Here is a 17106-nt window from a genome sequence, read left to right on the forward strand (position 1 = left end):
CAACCCCCAGCCTCTGTAACCACAATTCTACCTTCTGCTTCTGTGGGTTTTAGATTCCACATATATGTGAGAACCTGCAGTACTTGCTTTCCTGAACCTGACTTAATTCACTTAGCATAATATTCTCTAATTCCATCTATGTTGTCACAAATGTCAGAATGTCTTTCTTTTCTGTTGTTGTTCTTGTTTTTTTTGTTTGTTTGTTTTTTGAGACTGAGTCTCACTCTGTCACCCAGGCTGGAGTGCAGTGGTGCGAGCTCGGCTCACTGCAACCTCCACCTCCCCGGTTCAAGTGATTCTCCTGCCTCAGCCTCCTGAGTAGCTGGGATTACAGGCACCCACCACCATGCCCAGCTAATTTTTATATTTTTAGTAGAGACGGGGTTTCACCATGTTGGCCAGGCTGGTCTCGAACTCCTGACCTCAACTGATCCATCCATCTCGGCCTCCCAAACTGCCAGGATTACAGGTGTGAGCCACCATGCCTGGCCGAGAATGTCTTTCTTTTTTAAGGCTTCATAGTATTCCTTTCTGTAAGTATGCAACATTGTCTTTATCCACTCATTTGTTGATGCACAGTTAAGTTGATTCTGTAACTTGCTATTGTGAATAGTGCTGCAATGAACATGGGGTATAGACATCTCTTCAACAAACTGATTTTAAACCTTTTTGGTAAATACCCAGAAGTGGGATTTCAAGATCATATGGCAATTTTATGTTTAGTTTTTTGAAGAACCTCCATACTGTTTTCCATATTGACTATACTAATTTATATTCCCACCAACATTGTACAATTGTTCCCTTTTCTCCACATTCTTGACAACATTTATCTTTCATATTTTTGATAAAAGCCATTCTGACCAGTATGAGATGATGTCTCATTATGGCTTTAATTTGCATTTCCCTAATGATTAGCAATATCGAGTATTTTTCATTATATCTGTTAGCCATTTATATGTATTCTTTTGAGAAATGTCTTTATCTCTGGAATGCAAGGAGGGTTCAACATATGCAAGTCAATAAATGATATGCCACATTAACAGAATAAATGACAAAAATCATATGATTATCTCATCAGAAGCAGAAAAAAATTGACAAAATTCAACATCCCTTAACCATAAAAACAATCACCAAATTAGGTATACAAGAAAGGTAGCTCAACAATAAAAGCTATCCAGAGATGCTGACAGCTAACAGTGACTCAGCAGTGAATAACTGAAAGCCTTTCCCCCAAGATCTGGAACAAGACAACAATGCCCACTCAACATGGAATTGGAAGTTCTAGACAGAGCAATTAAGCAAGAAAAAGAAATTGGCAATAGATTTAACCAAGGAGACAAAAGACTTATACAACGAAAACTATAAGGTGTTGATGAAATAAACTGAATAAGACACAAATAAATGGAAAGATATTTCATGTTCATGGTTCAGAAGAACTAATATTACTAAAATGTTATACTACCCAAAGTGATCTACAAATTCAATGCAATCCCTATGAATATCCCAACATCACTTTTCATAGAAATAAAAAAAAAATCCAAAACTTCATATGGGGCTGGACATGGTGGCTTACACCTGGAATCTCAGCACTTCGGGAGGCCGAGGTGGGAGGATCACCTGAGATCAGGAGTTCGAGACCAACCTAGCCAACATGGTAAAACCCCATCTCTGCTAAAAATACAAAAATCAGCCAGGCATGGTGGCACTCACCTGTAATCCCAGCTACTTGGGAGGCTGAGGGACGAGAATCACTTGAAGCTGGGAGGCGGAGGTTGCAGTGAGCCTTGATTGCACCACTTGCACTCCAGTTTGGGCCATAGAGTGAGACTCCATCTCAAAAAACAAAACAAAACAAAAATTCATATGGACAACAAAAACCTCAAACAACCAAGGCAATCATGAACAAAAAGGACAAAGCTGGAGGTATCACACCACCAGATTTCAAAGTATACTACAAATCTATAGCAATCAAAACAACATGGTATTGGAAAAAAAAAAAAAAAAAAAGACAGACACATTGACTAATGGAGTGGAATAGAGAGCTTGGAAATTAACCTACTACTATACAGTCAATTGATTTTCAACAAAGGTACCAGAATACGCAATAGGAAGAGGACAGTCCCTTCAATAAATAGTGTTGGGAAAATGAAATTTCCACCTGCAGAACAATAAAATTGGACCCTTATCTCACACCATATATAGAACTAAAAATCAAATTAAAATGAATTAAAGATTCAAACGTAATACCAGAAACTCTAAACTTACTGGAAGAAAACACAGGGAGGAAAAACTACATGACACTCTCTGGGCAACGGTTTTTTGGATGTGACCCCAAAAGCACAGGCAACAAAAGCAAAAATAGACAAATCAGATTACATCAAACTAAAAAGCTTCTGCATAGCCAATGAAACAACCAACAGCATGCAGAAACAACTCACAGATTGGGAGAAAACAGCTGCAAGCCATACATCTGACAAGGGATTAATATCCAAAATACAGAAGGAGCTCCAACAACTCAATATTAAGAAAACAAGAAACCCAATTAGAAAATGAGCAAGGGACCTGAATACACATTTCCACTAAAGTTTTTAAGACATAAACATACTTTGGCATAAACACTGTATTATATGCAATTACTTTTTGTAAATAATTTTTGTAAAGCCATCAGATATATATCCAAATGATTTTTCACCTGAGTGTAAGACAGGAAAATGTTTAAATTAATACATAAATCAAATCATCTGCACTGGCATTGTTAACCTAGAAGAAAGTGGCTGCATAGAGAATAGTAAAAGCAAGGATATTTAGTCCATACTTTCAAATGGGGCTTGATGATTTGAAACAACAAAGTTGTTCACTGGCAGAATTTCCCACCAAGTCTGTATAAATTATGTGCTATTTGATAAAAGATAGCCTGAATGAAGCTAATTTTTTTATCTTCAGTATTTGCTTTAAGAGAAAAATCCTGAAGCTTGTAGGGATTTCTAATGCCAAAAAAGATGATGAAATGGGAGAGTATATTTAGCAATCATGGTGACTAAGCTCATGGTAACTGGCATATGTAAAATTTTAGTTTGCATTCCAATTACTTAAACTGAGATGTTCTTGATCAGTTGAACATACTGTGAGTAGACGATCTCTTTCTCAGAGAAACAAGATGGAGAGATCTTCAGAGAATGGCCCCACTGAAGCTCATTGGTAAATGAGCTTTCTCCAGATTTTGTTGATTTCCTGAGTTTTTCCATAATTCCTCAGTTCCCTGGCCATTTTCTGATAGACCATGGTCTTCCTATTGCCCTTTCTTATTCCTCAAAGTTTGGCAAATTTTTCTTCATTTTTTGATACAAACTGGAAACTGCCTTTGGTTTTATCTACTTACTGAATGCAGATGCCATCTTGGGATTATACTGAGATTTGTGAAGTTATTCAAACAGTCAGAGAAGCTTCCCGCCTTGTCCTCCCTGTTGCTGGAAAACAGCAGACTGCACCAGCTGGCTTTCAGTTATGTTCCACAAAGATCAATGAATGGTTCCTTCAAAATAGAAGTCTGCAGCATTATTTATTAAAGTTCTCCAATTATAAATAGATTCCTCTGTAAGCAACATTCCATAGCAGTTGGAATCTCCTCTGACATGGGTACAATCACTGATGAAAACCAGGTAAGTTTTGAAGATCTCCAGTTGAATGTTGCCTCAGTACCTCAAAAGCATCTTCAAATGCTTGAGCCAGCTTGTCTCGTTCACACAAGTTATGCTTCACTAATAAACTGATGATTCTGTCCATCAGTGCCCAATCTAGCATGTACTTGTAGATGTGGAGATAATCTTCCCTCCTCTGAAACACACATCTGCACTCCCCACCACCCACTTTAATTTTGTTAAAGCAGTTTTGAGTTGGGTTTCTGTCATCTGCAAAGGAAAAAGTCCTGAGTCATTTATACCTAAGAATCAGATAATTTAAGTAACAGGCTCTAACATATGAAAATAGCTGAGATAGTGTGGGGTGCAAAACAGAGAGGAGATAATTATTCCCATCCCTAAATAATATTTGAAAAGTTTTGTTATACAGTAGAAATGCAACTGGCTATCCAATGATTTGTTAAATCTTTGGACTCAGCCCCAAGAAAAATAGCAAGATATTGAACATTACTTGTGGCCTCAAATAATATTATATGAGAAAAGCAGAAGTTCAGTCCAAGCTATACTATCTAAAAGCAGAGAGGGAATAATGAAACTTCATTTTTTAGAAAAATCTTTATACCCATACCTTGCAATCCTTGAGGACTGGGAGTCAGAATTTGAAAAGGCCAAATTCTGCATCCTAAGCTAAAATTTGTGAAGACAAAAGCAAAGAGATAAAGAAATACCATACTAAAATATTGGGAAAGAAATTGAAAGGGACACAACAAAATGAAAAGATATTCCAGATTCACGAACTGAAATACTTAATATTGGTTAAATTATAATACTACTCAAAGCAATTTACAGATTAAATGCAATCCAATTACATTCTCTACAGAAATAGAAAAAAATCTTAAGACATATATGGAACCACAAAAGACCCCAAATAACCAAAGCAATCTGAGCAAAAGGAACAAAGCTGGAGGCATTACACTACCTGACTTCAAATTTTACTACAAAGCTATAGTAACCAAATCAGTATGACACTGGCATAAAAACAGACAGAATAGACCAATGGGACAGAATAGAGAACGCAGATGTAAATCCACACATTTACGGCCAGCTCATCTTCAACAAAGGTACCAAGAACATATAATGGGGGGAAGGATAGGCTTTTCAATAAATGGTGCCAAGAAAACTAGATAACTATATGCAGAAGAATGAAACTGGATCCTTCTCTCTTACCATATACAAAAAGCAAATCAAAATTGATTAAAGATTAAATCTAAATCCTCAAACCATGAAACTACTAGAAGAAAACATTGAGGAATCACTCCAGGACATTGGTCTGGGTGAAGATTTTTTTATGTCAGATCTCAAAAGCATAGGCAAACAAAGTAAAAATAGACAAATGGGATTATTTCAAGCTAAAAACTTCTGCATAGCAAAGGAAATAATCAATAAAGTGAAGAGAAAACCCACAGAATGGCAGAAAATATAACTAACCACCTGAGACGGGGTTAATAACCAGAAGGTATGGGGAGCTCAAACAACTCAATAGCAAAAACAAACAAACAAACAAAAACAACATAATCCAATTTAAAAATGGGCAATAGATCTGAGTAGACATTTCTCAAAAGAAGCCATACAAATGGCCAACAGGCATATAAAAAATATTCAACATCACAAATTATTAGAGAAATGCAAATCAATGAGATATCATCTCGCCCCAGTTAAAATGGCTTTTATCAAGAAGACAGGCAATAACGCAGGCTAGCGAGGATGTGGAAGAAAGGGAACCCTTGTACACTGTTGGTGGGAATGGAAATTAGTACAGCTACTACACAGAATAGCTTGGAGGTTCCTCAAAAAACTAAAAATTGTGCTACCATATGATCCAGGAATCCCACTCCTGGGTATATCTCCAAAAGAAAGGAAATGAATATATCAAAGAGCTATCTGCACGCCCATGTTTATTGCAGCACTATTCACAATAGCCAAAATATGGAATCGATCTAAGTGCCCATCAACGAATGAATGGCTAAAGAAAACGTGGTATATATACACAATGGAATATTATTCATCTGTAAAAAGGAATAAAATCCTGTCATTTGCAGCAACATAAATAAAACTAGAAGTCATTATGTTAAGTGACACAAAGAGACAAATACTACGTGTTCTCACTCATATGTGGAAGCTAAGAAAAAGTGGATCTCATGAAGGTAGAGAGTAGATTGGTGGTTACCAGAAGCCAGCAAGGGTAGCAGAAGTAGGGGATTCAAAGAAGTTGATAAATCAATACAAATATAAAGTTGAGAGAAGAAATAAGCTCCAGTGTTCAACAGATGAGTAGGGTGACTATAGTTTACAAAAACATACTGTACATTTCAAATTAGAAGAGAAAAATTCAAACATTTCTAGGATAAAGACAAATATTAAGGTGATGGATATCCCAAGTACACTGATGTGATGTATACAAATTATATGAATGTATTAAGTTATCATGTGTGCCCTGAAACTATGTAACTTATTATCCATCAATTTTTTAAATTGTTGAAAAAATGATTAAATGAATAAATAAAATATTGGGTCTTGGATGAGCCAGAAAATTTGGGAAGTCTGATTCTCTCTCAAATATTATATTCTAGGTATTCTTTGCCAGACAAAAGCATCATATCCCTTATAAAAATGCATCCAGTAGGTTATAATCTTGGGGGAAATGCCACATTATTTAGCTTCATTTTCCCCTTCAAGTCTTTCACATTGTTCAAAGCAGACAGCAAAGTGAAAGCATTATTTTGGGAGATGGGGAAAAGCCAGAATAGATTATTGGCAAGAAATAGAAACCACAAGATGAGGATCAAGAGTCAAGGTCCAGGTTTAGACAAGATCTCTGGATGTGGTTATTATGCCACAGAATCATCAAATGTCAACTGAGGTTTTAAATACTGCTTAAAAATGCCAAGCCTGGAAATAGGTGCCTGTAATTCTTCAGTCCTTCAGTAAATACCCAGGCTATTAAAGTAGGTAATTCCCAGGAATGAAATCCTCCTTGCACCTCTCTTAGGGGTGGCCATGGAGGACACAAAACACAGATATTTATCTTTGGAAGAAGGAGGTAGAACTGTTTTTGAAAATATATATAAAGTATAGTTGTGTTTGGAGAAGCAGAGGCATTTTTGAAACTATATGTATAATTAGAATGGTATGTGAATATATATACAACCAAAGACAAAGGGGTAAAATGGGGTAAAAATCTACTATTATTCACTATACGGCACTCATTCTCAACTACCTTCTCAGATCTAAACTCTACTTTTCTGTAGAGAACCCCTTCCCTGTGGTTAGGACAGGGCCAACACTGACTTGCCACCATGACGACATCAGTGGGTACATGACCTAGACTCAGCAAATTATGCTACCCATAACATCGGCTACCATGATCATTTAAGATCTGGACATGAAATCTAAACTAGGTTCTCCCTGGACATTTTCTGAAAGGTATTAGAGAGTGGGTGTAGTGGCTCACACCTGTAATTCCAACATTTTGGGAGGCTGAGGTGGGAGGATTGCTTGAGCCCAGGAGTTCAAGACCAGACTGGGCAACATAGGGAGACCTTGTCTCTATGAAAAACAAAAAAATTAGCTGGAGGCCGAGGCGGACGGATCATGAGGTCAGGAGATCGAGACCATCCTGGCTAATATGGTGAAACCCGTCTCTACTAAAAATACAAAAAAGTTAGCTGGGCATGGTGGTGGGCGCCTGTAATCCTAGCTACTCGGTAGGCTGAGGCAGGAGAATGGTGTGAACCCGGGAGGCGGAGCTTACAGTGAGCTGAGATCTCGCCACTGCACTCCAGCCTGGGTGACAGAGCGAGACTCCATCTTAAAAAAAAAAAAAAAAAAAAAAAAATTAGCCAGGCATGGTGATGCACACCTGCAGTCCCAGCTACTCAGGAGGCTGAGGTGGGTGGATCACTTGAGCCTGGGTGGTCAAGGCTGTGGTGAGCTGTGATTGCACCACTATACTCCAGCCTGGGCAACAGAGCAAGACCCTGTCTCTAAATAAATAAATAAATAAATATAAAAGTAATTTTTTATTATACATTAAGTTCTGGGATATATGTGGAGAACGTGCAGGTTTGTTAACATAGGTATACACGTCCCATGGTGGTTTGCTGCACCCATCAACCCGTCATCTACGTTAGATATTTCTCCTAATGTTATTCCTTTAAAATGGAAGGTATTAGGAAGATTTCTTTCCACTGTCGGTCAGGAATGAGATGGATGTGGTGCTACTGAAGGTCGCCTTGCCACTCTGTAGTAAAAGAAACCTCTGCAACGAATTTGAGGAAATCACAGCTGACAGATGTAAAGAGGACACAGAGCCCTCCTCACATTGTTAGAATTCCTGGAACTAAACAAATCACTCCTTTTACCTTCCAGCTGTGTAAGCCTCCTCCTCAAAAAAAAGAAAATCATTTTTTGTGTAAGCTAGTGTTTTCTGCAATTTAAAGCTTTAAAAATCCAACTCAACAACAAAACACAACCCAATTTAAAAAGGGACAAAAGACTTGAATAGACATTTCTCTGAAGATATATAAATGGCCAAAAAGCACACAAAAAGATATTCAATGTCATTAGTCATTAGAGAAAGGCAAGTCAAAAGCACAATGAGATATACCATTTTACACCCACTAGGATAGCCATTTCTTAAAAATAGAGAATAAATGTTGGTAAAGCTGTGGAGAAATTGGAACCTTCATACATTGCTGGTGGGGATGAAAAATGGTACAACCACTGTGGAAAACAGTTTGGTGATTCTTCAATAAACACAGAATTATCACATGACCTAGCAATTCCACTCCTAAATATGTACCCAAGAGAAGTAAAAGCAGGTGTTCAAATAAAAACGTTTCCATTTGTTTACAAAATGTTATACACCAGTGAACACAGCAGCTCTATTCACAATAGCCAAAAGGTTAAAACAATCTAACTGTCCACCAACAGATGAATAAAAAAAATGTGTTTTGATACCATAAAGTTAAATGTTCTTCATCCATAAAAAGGAATGAACGAAAAATACAACATGGATGACCCTCAAAAACACTATGCTAAGCTGGCCGGGTGCAGTGGCTCATGCCTGTAATCCCAGCACTTTGGGAGGATGAGGTGGGCAGATCATGAGGTCAGGAGTTCGAGACCAGCCTGACCAACATGGTGGAACCTCATCTCTACTAAAAATACAAAAATTACCTGGGCATGGTGGCGCACGCCTGTAGTCCCAGCTACTTGGGAGGCTGAGGCAGGAGAATCACTTGAACCCAGGAGGCGGAGGTTGCAGTGAGCTGAGATCGTGCCACTGCACTCCAGCCTGGGAGACAGAGTGAGGATCTGTCTCAAAAACAAACAAACAAACAAACAAACAAAATTATGCTAAATAAAGGAAGCCAGACACCGAAGACCACATATTGAATGATTCCATTTATAAGAAATGTCCAGAATAGGCAAATCCATAGAGACAGAAAGCAGATTAGTGGTTGCCAAGTGCTGAGAAGAGAGAGAAATGGAGAGTGACTGCTTAGTTAGCATTTCTGTTTAGGGTGATTTTTTAAAGTTCTGGACCGAGATAGAGGTGATGGCTGCATAACATGGGTGAACAGGCTTAATGCCACTGAATTGTACACTTTAAAATTGTTAAAACTTCACCGTGATTTTAAAAATGTTAAGGTCCCTGACTAATTTAAGCCCACTCTGCACCGTGTAGTCAGGAACTAGGACTTAGAGCTGGCATAGAGTGGGAATTTGTCAAATAATCACCATCATTTTGGATTCTTAATGAGTTGCCAACTGTCCTAAGTATTACTATTTTACATATTGTAATGAATGCTTTGTGAAACAAAAGCTTTTGTGGTTGTTGCTGTTGATTACAAATTTTATCTCTTTTTTTAACTTTTATTTTAGGTTCAGGGTACACATGCAGGTTTGTTGTACAGGTAAATTGAGTATCATGGGGGTTTGGTGTACAAACTGTTTTGTCACCCAGCTGATAAGCATAGTACCCAATAGGTAGTTTTTGATCCTTAGCCTCCTCCCACTCTCCACCCTCACAAAGGCCTCAGTGTCTACTGTTCCCTTCTTTGTGTCCATGTGTACTCAATGTTTAGGTCCTACTTCTAAGTGAGAACATGCAGTATTTGGTTTCCTGTTCCTGCATTAGTTCACTTAAGATAATGGCCCCCAGCTCCTTCCATGTTGCTGCAAAGAACATGATCTTGTTCTTTTTTATGGATGCACAGTATTCCACGATGTATATGTGCCACCTTTTCTTTATCTGGTGTATTGATGATGGGCATTTAGGTTGATTCCGTGTCTTTGCTATTGTGAGTAGTGCTGCAATGAACATATGAGTGCGTGTGTCTTTATGGTAGAACAATTTATTTTCCTTTGGGTATTGGTATGGTTTGGCTGTGTCTCCACCCAAATCTCATCTTGAATTGTAGCTCTCATAATCCCCATGTATCATGGGAGGAACCCAGTGAAAGGTAATTGAATCATGGGGGCGGGTTCTTCCCAAGCTGTTCTCATGATAGTGAATAAGTCTCACAAGATATGATGGTTTTATAAAGGGCAGTTCCCCTATACACACTCTCTTGCTTGCTGCCATGTAAGATGTGCCTTTGCTCCTCTCCACCTTCCGCCATGATTGTGAGGCCTCCCTGGCCATGTGGAACTGTGAGTCCATTAAACCTCTTTTTCTTTATAAATTACCCAGTCTTGCATATGTCCTTATAGCAGTGTGGTCTACTGCAGGTATATACCCAATAAGGAGATTACTGGGTCAAATGGTAGTTCTGTTTGAAGCTCTTTGAGAAGGCTCCACAATGCTTTGCACAATGACTGAACTAATTTACATTTCCACCAACAGTGAATAAGCATTCCCTTTTCTCTGCAATCTCACCAGCATGTTTGTTGTTGTTGTTGTTGTTGTTGTTGTTGTTTGAGACGGAGTCTCGCTGTGTCGCCCAGGCTGGAGTGCAGTGGCGCGATCTCGGCTCACTGCAAACTCTGACTCTCAGGTTCATGCCATTCTCCTGCCTCAGCCTCCCGAGTAGCTGGGACTACAGGCGCCCGCCACCACGCCCAGCTAATTTTTTTTGTATTTTTAGTAGAGATGGGGTTTCACCGTGTTAGCCAGGATGGTCTCGATCTCCTGACCTCATGATCCACCCGTCTCGGCCTCCCAAAGTGCTGGGATTACAGGCATGAGCCACCACGCCCGGCCAGCATCTGTTATTTTTCAGCTTTTTAATAATACCTATTCTGACTGGTGTGAGAGGATGGGACATTTAGAGGAAAAATCAGCCTTTCTTGTTTCTTCCCTCACAGTCAGTATTAATAAAGACTAATCCCTTTAGACTATCACAAGAAGATACTGCAGAGGAAAGATGAAGCTTCTTTTAACTAAGGGGTCACGGCCGTTATAATTTGAGCATCAAAAGACTGGATGAAAACAGATGTGGCCAGAGTTCTAGTTCTTGTTTTGGAGGACTAGACGGTATCAGATTAACCCCTCTGCCAAAATTATTTATAAACTCTGGGCAAAATATAACAAACAGGTCTTTGAAGGGACTGGAGATAAACCTTAGCAGGCAGAAACTGAGCAGGGAACAGACAGTCCTCAAAATGAAGGAAGCACGTGAGATGAGCTCCACATTTACCAAGATTTTTCTCCTGAGGGACTTCCCAGCTTGCTGCTGCTGCACACAGCGGAAGAGATCTCAAACAGAAAGAAGCAATTTTAGGGGATGTGGAGCTAGAGATTCGATTTGGGGCTCCCAGAGAAGCTGGAAATTGAGGAGGAAATCCCCAGAAAAGGGGGACCTATGGAAGGAAAATAATTGATAGAACAAGTAGATGAAAAATCAGTAAGAACATAGATTTGAACACAATTAACAGACTTGATCAAGTGGACATTCACACAACACAGCACCCAACACTGCATACCACACACTCTTTTCGAGAACTCACAGGACCTTTACAAAGTGAATCACGCTGGACGATAAAGTAAGTCTCAACAAAATTAGGAGATTGCAATCAGGCAAGACATGCTATGGCTAGTATGAGCAAACAAGCCAGACATCAATAGAAATGACCTGTTTTGAAGATGGCATGGTATTAACACAGGGATTGACAAGTAGAACAATTGGAATAGAAGAATGGACAGCCCAGAAACAGGCATATATGGACACTTCATTTTTGACAGAGGTGGTGTTACCAGCTGAGGGTAGTTGTCCAGGTTCTTGGCGTTTTGAACAAAGAACTGGACAAAATGGACAAAGCAAGGCAGCAAGAGCAGAGATTTGTTTTAAATGAAAGTACACTCCACAGGGTGGGGGTGGCTCATGCAAGCAGCTCAAGATTCTTGGTTACAGAATTTTCTGGGGTTTCAATTCCCTCTAGGAGTTTCCCATTGTCCCCCGACCAGTCTGATTGGTTGCAGGAGGGGACCAATCAGAGGTACTTTCATTTTTCAACCGCCAGGCAGAAAAAGGAGGGGCAGCAACTGTCGCGCAGAAAAAGGGGGTGTTGAAGAGTAGCCTCTGATATCCAGTGAGCATGAACCGGCCTTAGGTTTCCTGCCTCCAGACCCTATTCTCCTGCCTCATTTCCCCCCCTGAGAGACAGGATCCCCGTAAGTCTTTATGTGAGACAGAGGGACTGATGGTCTTTTTTCTGTAACTGCGTCACACTGACTTGACTGACAGTCCCTGCCTATTGGAATCACAGAACTCTCACCCTGCTCTGTCTAGTGGAGACAGGGTAGTTTCTTGATGGCCAGGGGTGGTGAATTCATTTGGAACTGGCTGGAAACCTTACTGCACAATCATCTCCAGGCAAGAGGAAATGAATGGTTAAAAGATTTCATGGGAACTTCAGGAGGTGGACACCTATGCTGTCAGGAATGTTTGTTATAGAAATGAATTAAAAGATTCTACTTAATTACTATGAAGGAAGTGATTCCAACTGTTTGAAAGAAGGTAATTAATCTGCAAAAAAAAAAAAAAAAAAAAAAACATGGCTACTATTATCCAGCCTACAGTAACTATGCAACAAAAACACCAAGGAACGTTGGTAGGCATTTCTCTTTTGGCTGTCTTCTAAACAGGTACTTCAGGGCTGCCACAGGTTCACAGGTGCAGTGGCTGATGGGAACTTCAGGTTCCAGGTCCGGGGCTTCAGGTATCACAGACTTGATCCTTGAAAGGTGTATCCAACTATCTAATCCCAGTACTTTGACCGCAGAAGGCGTGGCCAGTATCACTGAAAACGGTGCCTTCCATTGGGGTTGTAATTGTTGAGGAGGTGACCCCTCCGTCCATGCTTTAACAAGCACCTTATCTGCTGGCCTGATTTGAGGTGGCTGGTTAGCTTCCAGTACCGGAAGCCTTTGAGTTCCAAACTTCTGTATAAACCTGCTGACATTGTCCTAGGTTAACTAGGTATTTTACTAAACCAGCTGTTTCTGAATCAGTAATTACATCATCAGTTAAGAATAGCCTTCTGTAATCCCAGCACTTTGGGAGGCCAAGGCGGGCAGATCACCTGAGGTTAGGAGTTCAAGACCAGCCTGACCAACGTGGAGAAACCCCATCTCTACTAAAAATACAAAATTAGCCGGGCATGGTGGTTCATGCCTGTAATTCCAGCTACTCGGGAGGCCGAGGCAGGAGAATCGCTTGAACCCGGAAGGCAGAGGTTGCAGTGAGCCAAGATCAAGGCATTGTACTCCAGCCTGGGCAACAAGAGCGAAAATTCCATGTCCAAAAAAACAAGGCCGGGCACAGTGGCTCAGGCCTGTAATCCCAGCACTTTGGGAGGCCGAGGCGGGCAGATCACAAGGTCAGGAGATCGAGACCATCCTGGCTAACACGGTGAAACCCCGTCTCTACTAAAAATACAAAATATTAGCTGGGCGTGCTGGCGGGCGCCTGTAGTCCCAGCTACTCGGGAGGCTGAGGCAGGAGAATGGCGTGAACCCGGGAGGCGGAGCTTGCAGTGAGCCAAGATCGTGCCACTGCACTCCAGCCTAGGCGATAGAGAGAGACTCCGTCTCAAAAAAAAAAAAAAAAACACACACACACACACATAAAAACAAACTAATAGCCTTCGTATAGGCTTATATTAAATTTTGCTCTAGGGGTATTACAGATTTTTAAGAGAGCTATGGGCAGTAAGCTGACCCAAGCTTCTGATGTTTCCTGATCGAACTTAGCTAACGATCCTTTTAGAGGTTGATTAGCCCTTTCTACTTTCCCAGAGGATTGAGGCCTCCATGCTGAATGTAAATAGTATTTGATTCTGAGAGCCTTAGCAACTACTTGAGTTATCTGGGAGATAAAGTATGGGCCGTTATCACTTTGGAGACGCTGAAGTAACCCAAACTGGGGGATTATTTCTTTTAAGAGAACCTTATAACCACAGTAGCCTTCTCTGATCTGGTAGGATAAGCTTCGACCCAACCAGTAAAGATATCTATTAGCACTAACAAAAACTTATAACCTCTGCCAGCTGGCATATGTGTGAAGTCTAATCGCCCATCTTTTCCTGGGTATGTTCTATCAGCGTCCTCTAATACAACTCCCCTCTGGACTGGTTCTATTACAGGAGGCATTCTGTTTCCTGGGCTGTTCAGTGCACACAGTGAGCAGGTTTGACAGACATGCTTAACCACAGAAGCTAAGTTAGGCTCAATGAAGAGCCTGTTAACCACGGCCAGGGTGGCTTCTCTCCCCATATGCAAAGAGTCATGCAGAGTTTTTCTAATTCTCCATCAGGCTGCTTGAGGGAGATGTGGTTTTGATGCCATGTACCACCAGCATCCTGGGTTTTGTCCCCCTTGCTCCTTTATTAACTGTTCTTCCTGTGGTGTGTATTCAGGCTCCATTGGGGAATCACAGAAAAGAAGTAGAGCTGGAATCTGTTGGGATTGCACCCTGAGAACTACAGCTTTCGCTTCTCTATCAGCCTTTCTGTTTCCTTGTGCTATAAGGGTTAAGGCCCTTTGATGCTCCCTGCAATGAATTACAGCTACAGCCTTTGGCAGGTGTATTGCTTCCAAAAGCTGCAGAATTTCAGGCCTATGCTTTACAGGGGAGTGTTTGCTAGTTAGCAGCCCTCTTCCTTTCCAGATTGTAGCATGAGCATGGCAAGGGTTACCTGGTCCGGTGGAACCTCCCTTACTTCATCATCACTTACTGCCTTAGTTATTCCCTTTCTCATTCCTCCAAGGAGAGCCTCAAGAAATTTAGCCCAGTTTTTCGTTCCCACGAGAGCATTAGAGTCTCAATTAGGATCAGTTGTGGGGACTGTGTCTGGGCCCAGGTGATTGCCCTGAGGGTTTTGGGCAAATAAATCGTCTGCTTCCCAGTGGGCAGCCTCAAAAGATTCATTCCTTTTCAAAGGGGGTGCAAGAGGTTGCTAGAATGAATTGAACATTTCTCTGTGAGAGATCGAAGGCTGAGGTCAAAGTTTGGAACCCATCTGCTAATTTCCTGGGATTCTTAGAAGAGCTTCCTAGCTTTCCCTGACACCGTTGTATATCAGTTATAGAGAAGGTGGCCTGCACTAGGACTGGCCCCTCGGCTCCTGCTACTTCCTGAAGGGGTAGCAGGGCTGGAGGGAGAGTGGAATGTAGTGTCCCCTCCGAGCGTGAGGGGGACCTAGTAGGGTGTCCAGGGTTTGGGTTTTAGCCTCAGGAGCACTTGGCAAGGGGCTACGTGGGGGCGGTTATGTTCACCCTGAGAGACAGGTGGCCCTTATAAAAGGGGGTCATCTATACTATCTAGTCCTGTCTTTGGACTTTCTTTGCGGAGATGATTAGGTTTTGGCGTAGGGCCGTGAAGGCCTGTACATATGGTATTTCTGACCATTTGCCCTGCCAGGAAACAGCTGCTGCAAGACTGAAAAGAAAAGGACTCAGGTCCCTCACCCAAACCGGGTGGTGGTGATCAGGCGCTTCCACACGGAACCCTTTCAGTTTCCCTGGAGAGTGGCCCCAACCACAAACCTGCGGTTGCCTCCATGCCTAGGCACTGTCCACCGAGAGTCCCGAGTTGGAAAGGAAAAGAGAGAGAAAGAGGACAAAAAGGAAAATAAATCCCAAACGTTGGGCTTACCTCCTGGCTGGCTCACCAAAATACGTTACCAGCTGAAGGGTAGTTGGCCAGGTTCTTGGCGTTTTGAACTGAGAATTGGACAAAACACACAAAGCAAGGCAGGGAAAGCAGAGATTTACTCCAACAGAGGACAGTGGGCTCAAGCAAGCAGCTCCAAAGCCTGTTACTGAATTTTCTGAGGTTTAAATACCCTCTAGAGGGTTCCCATTGGCCCCCGACCAGTCTGATTGGTTGCAGGAGGGGACCAATCAGAGGTACTTTCATTTTTCAACTGCCTCGCAGAAAAAAGGAGGGGTTGAAAAGGGATGAATCGGGCTTGGGTTCCGAACCTAAGCCCAATTCAACCCCTCCTTTCCCTCATAAGCAGCATGAATCAGCCTTAGCTTCCCTGCCTCCAGACCCTATTCTCCTGCCTCAGTGGTAGTGTAGATCAGGCGAGGAAGTAGAAATTCTAATAGACAGTGGTGGGACAGGGAAGTGTCCATATGGAAAAAAATGGACCTTTATATCATACGTAAATAAATTTCAAGTAGATTAAAGGTCTAAACATAAAAGGCAAAATTAAGCAATGCATATAGAAGTGTAAAACTATAAACATTTGCAAGGAAGTGATTGTCACACGTTTGGAGAGTGGTTACTTCCGGGAAGAGGAAGAGGTTTGTTGCAGGTAGGGGATGGAGTGGGGAAAGGGACTCTGTCCATATTCTAACTCTTGGACTGGGTTGTAGCTATCTGGGTACTTTTTAATTTGCTTTAAATTATTTTTTAAATTGTATATAAATATGGTGGCCTTTTGTGTATTCTATACAGTCCACACTAAAAATGGTTAAGAAAAAAAGCATGACGTATTTAAAGATAACCACCACCGTAAGTCAAATCACTGAGTAACTTAAAGCTCACAAGTAATATTTAAGAGTACCCAGAAACTTGTTCTCCTCCTAGAAAATATATACAGTCAAAAAAAACAAGAGCCCTCAAAAGTGTTAGTCCAAACTGCACCATTATGTAAGTCTCCCGCCATTTCACAGACCTTGGTCAAAGTGGAACATTCCACGGGGGTTCGGACCGTGAGAAACAGCCTGCCTCTTATCTTATTCTGCTAGGAGAAAATGCAAGGAACACCACACTCCACCAGAACAAGGGCCAAACCGCCTGATCAAAGGAACATCTTATCAATATCCTATCAGGCAGCAAGCCATACTGCCCAGGCCCCTCCCGCCCATACCTATAAATACCCCAGCCTGTAAGCAGTGGGCACTGACACTAAGCTGGTCCCCCACCTCTATAAGTTTATCCTGGACATAAAT

General features: G+C 41.2%; 1 pseudogene; it reads right to left on the reverse strand.

The window, feature by feature from the left end:
• Positions 2967-3812, reverse strand: SPICP3 (Spi-C transcription factor pseudogene 3; annotated as a pseudogene).

This window comes from Homo sapiens, chromosome 17 (genome assembly GCF_000001405.40).
Source record: "Homo sapiens chromosome 17, GRCh38.p14 Primary Assembly".
NCBI lineage: Eukaryota > Metazoa > Chordata > Mammalia > Primates > Hominidae > Homo > Homo sapiens.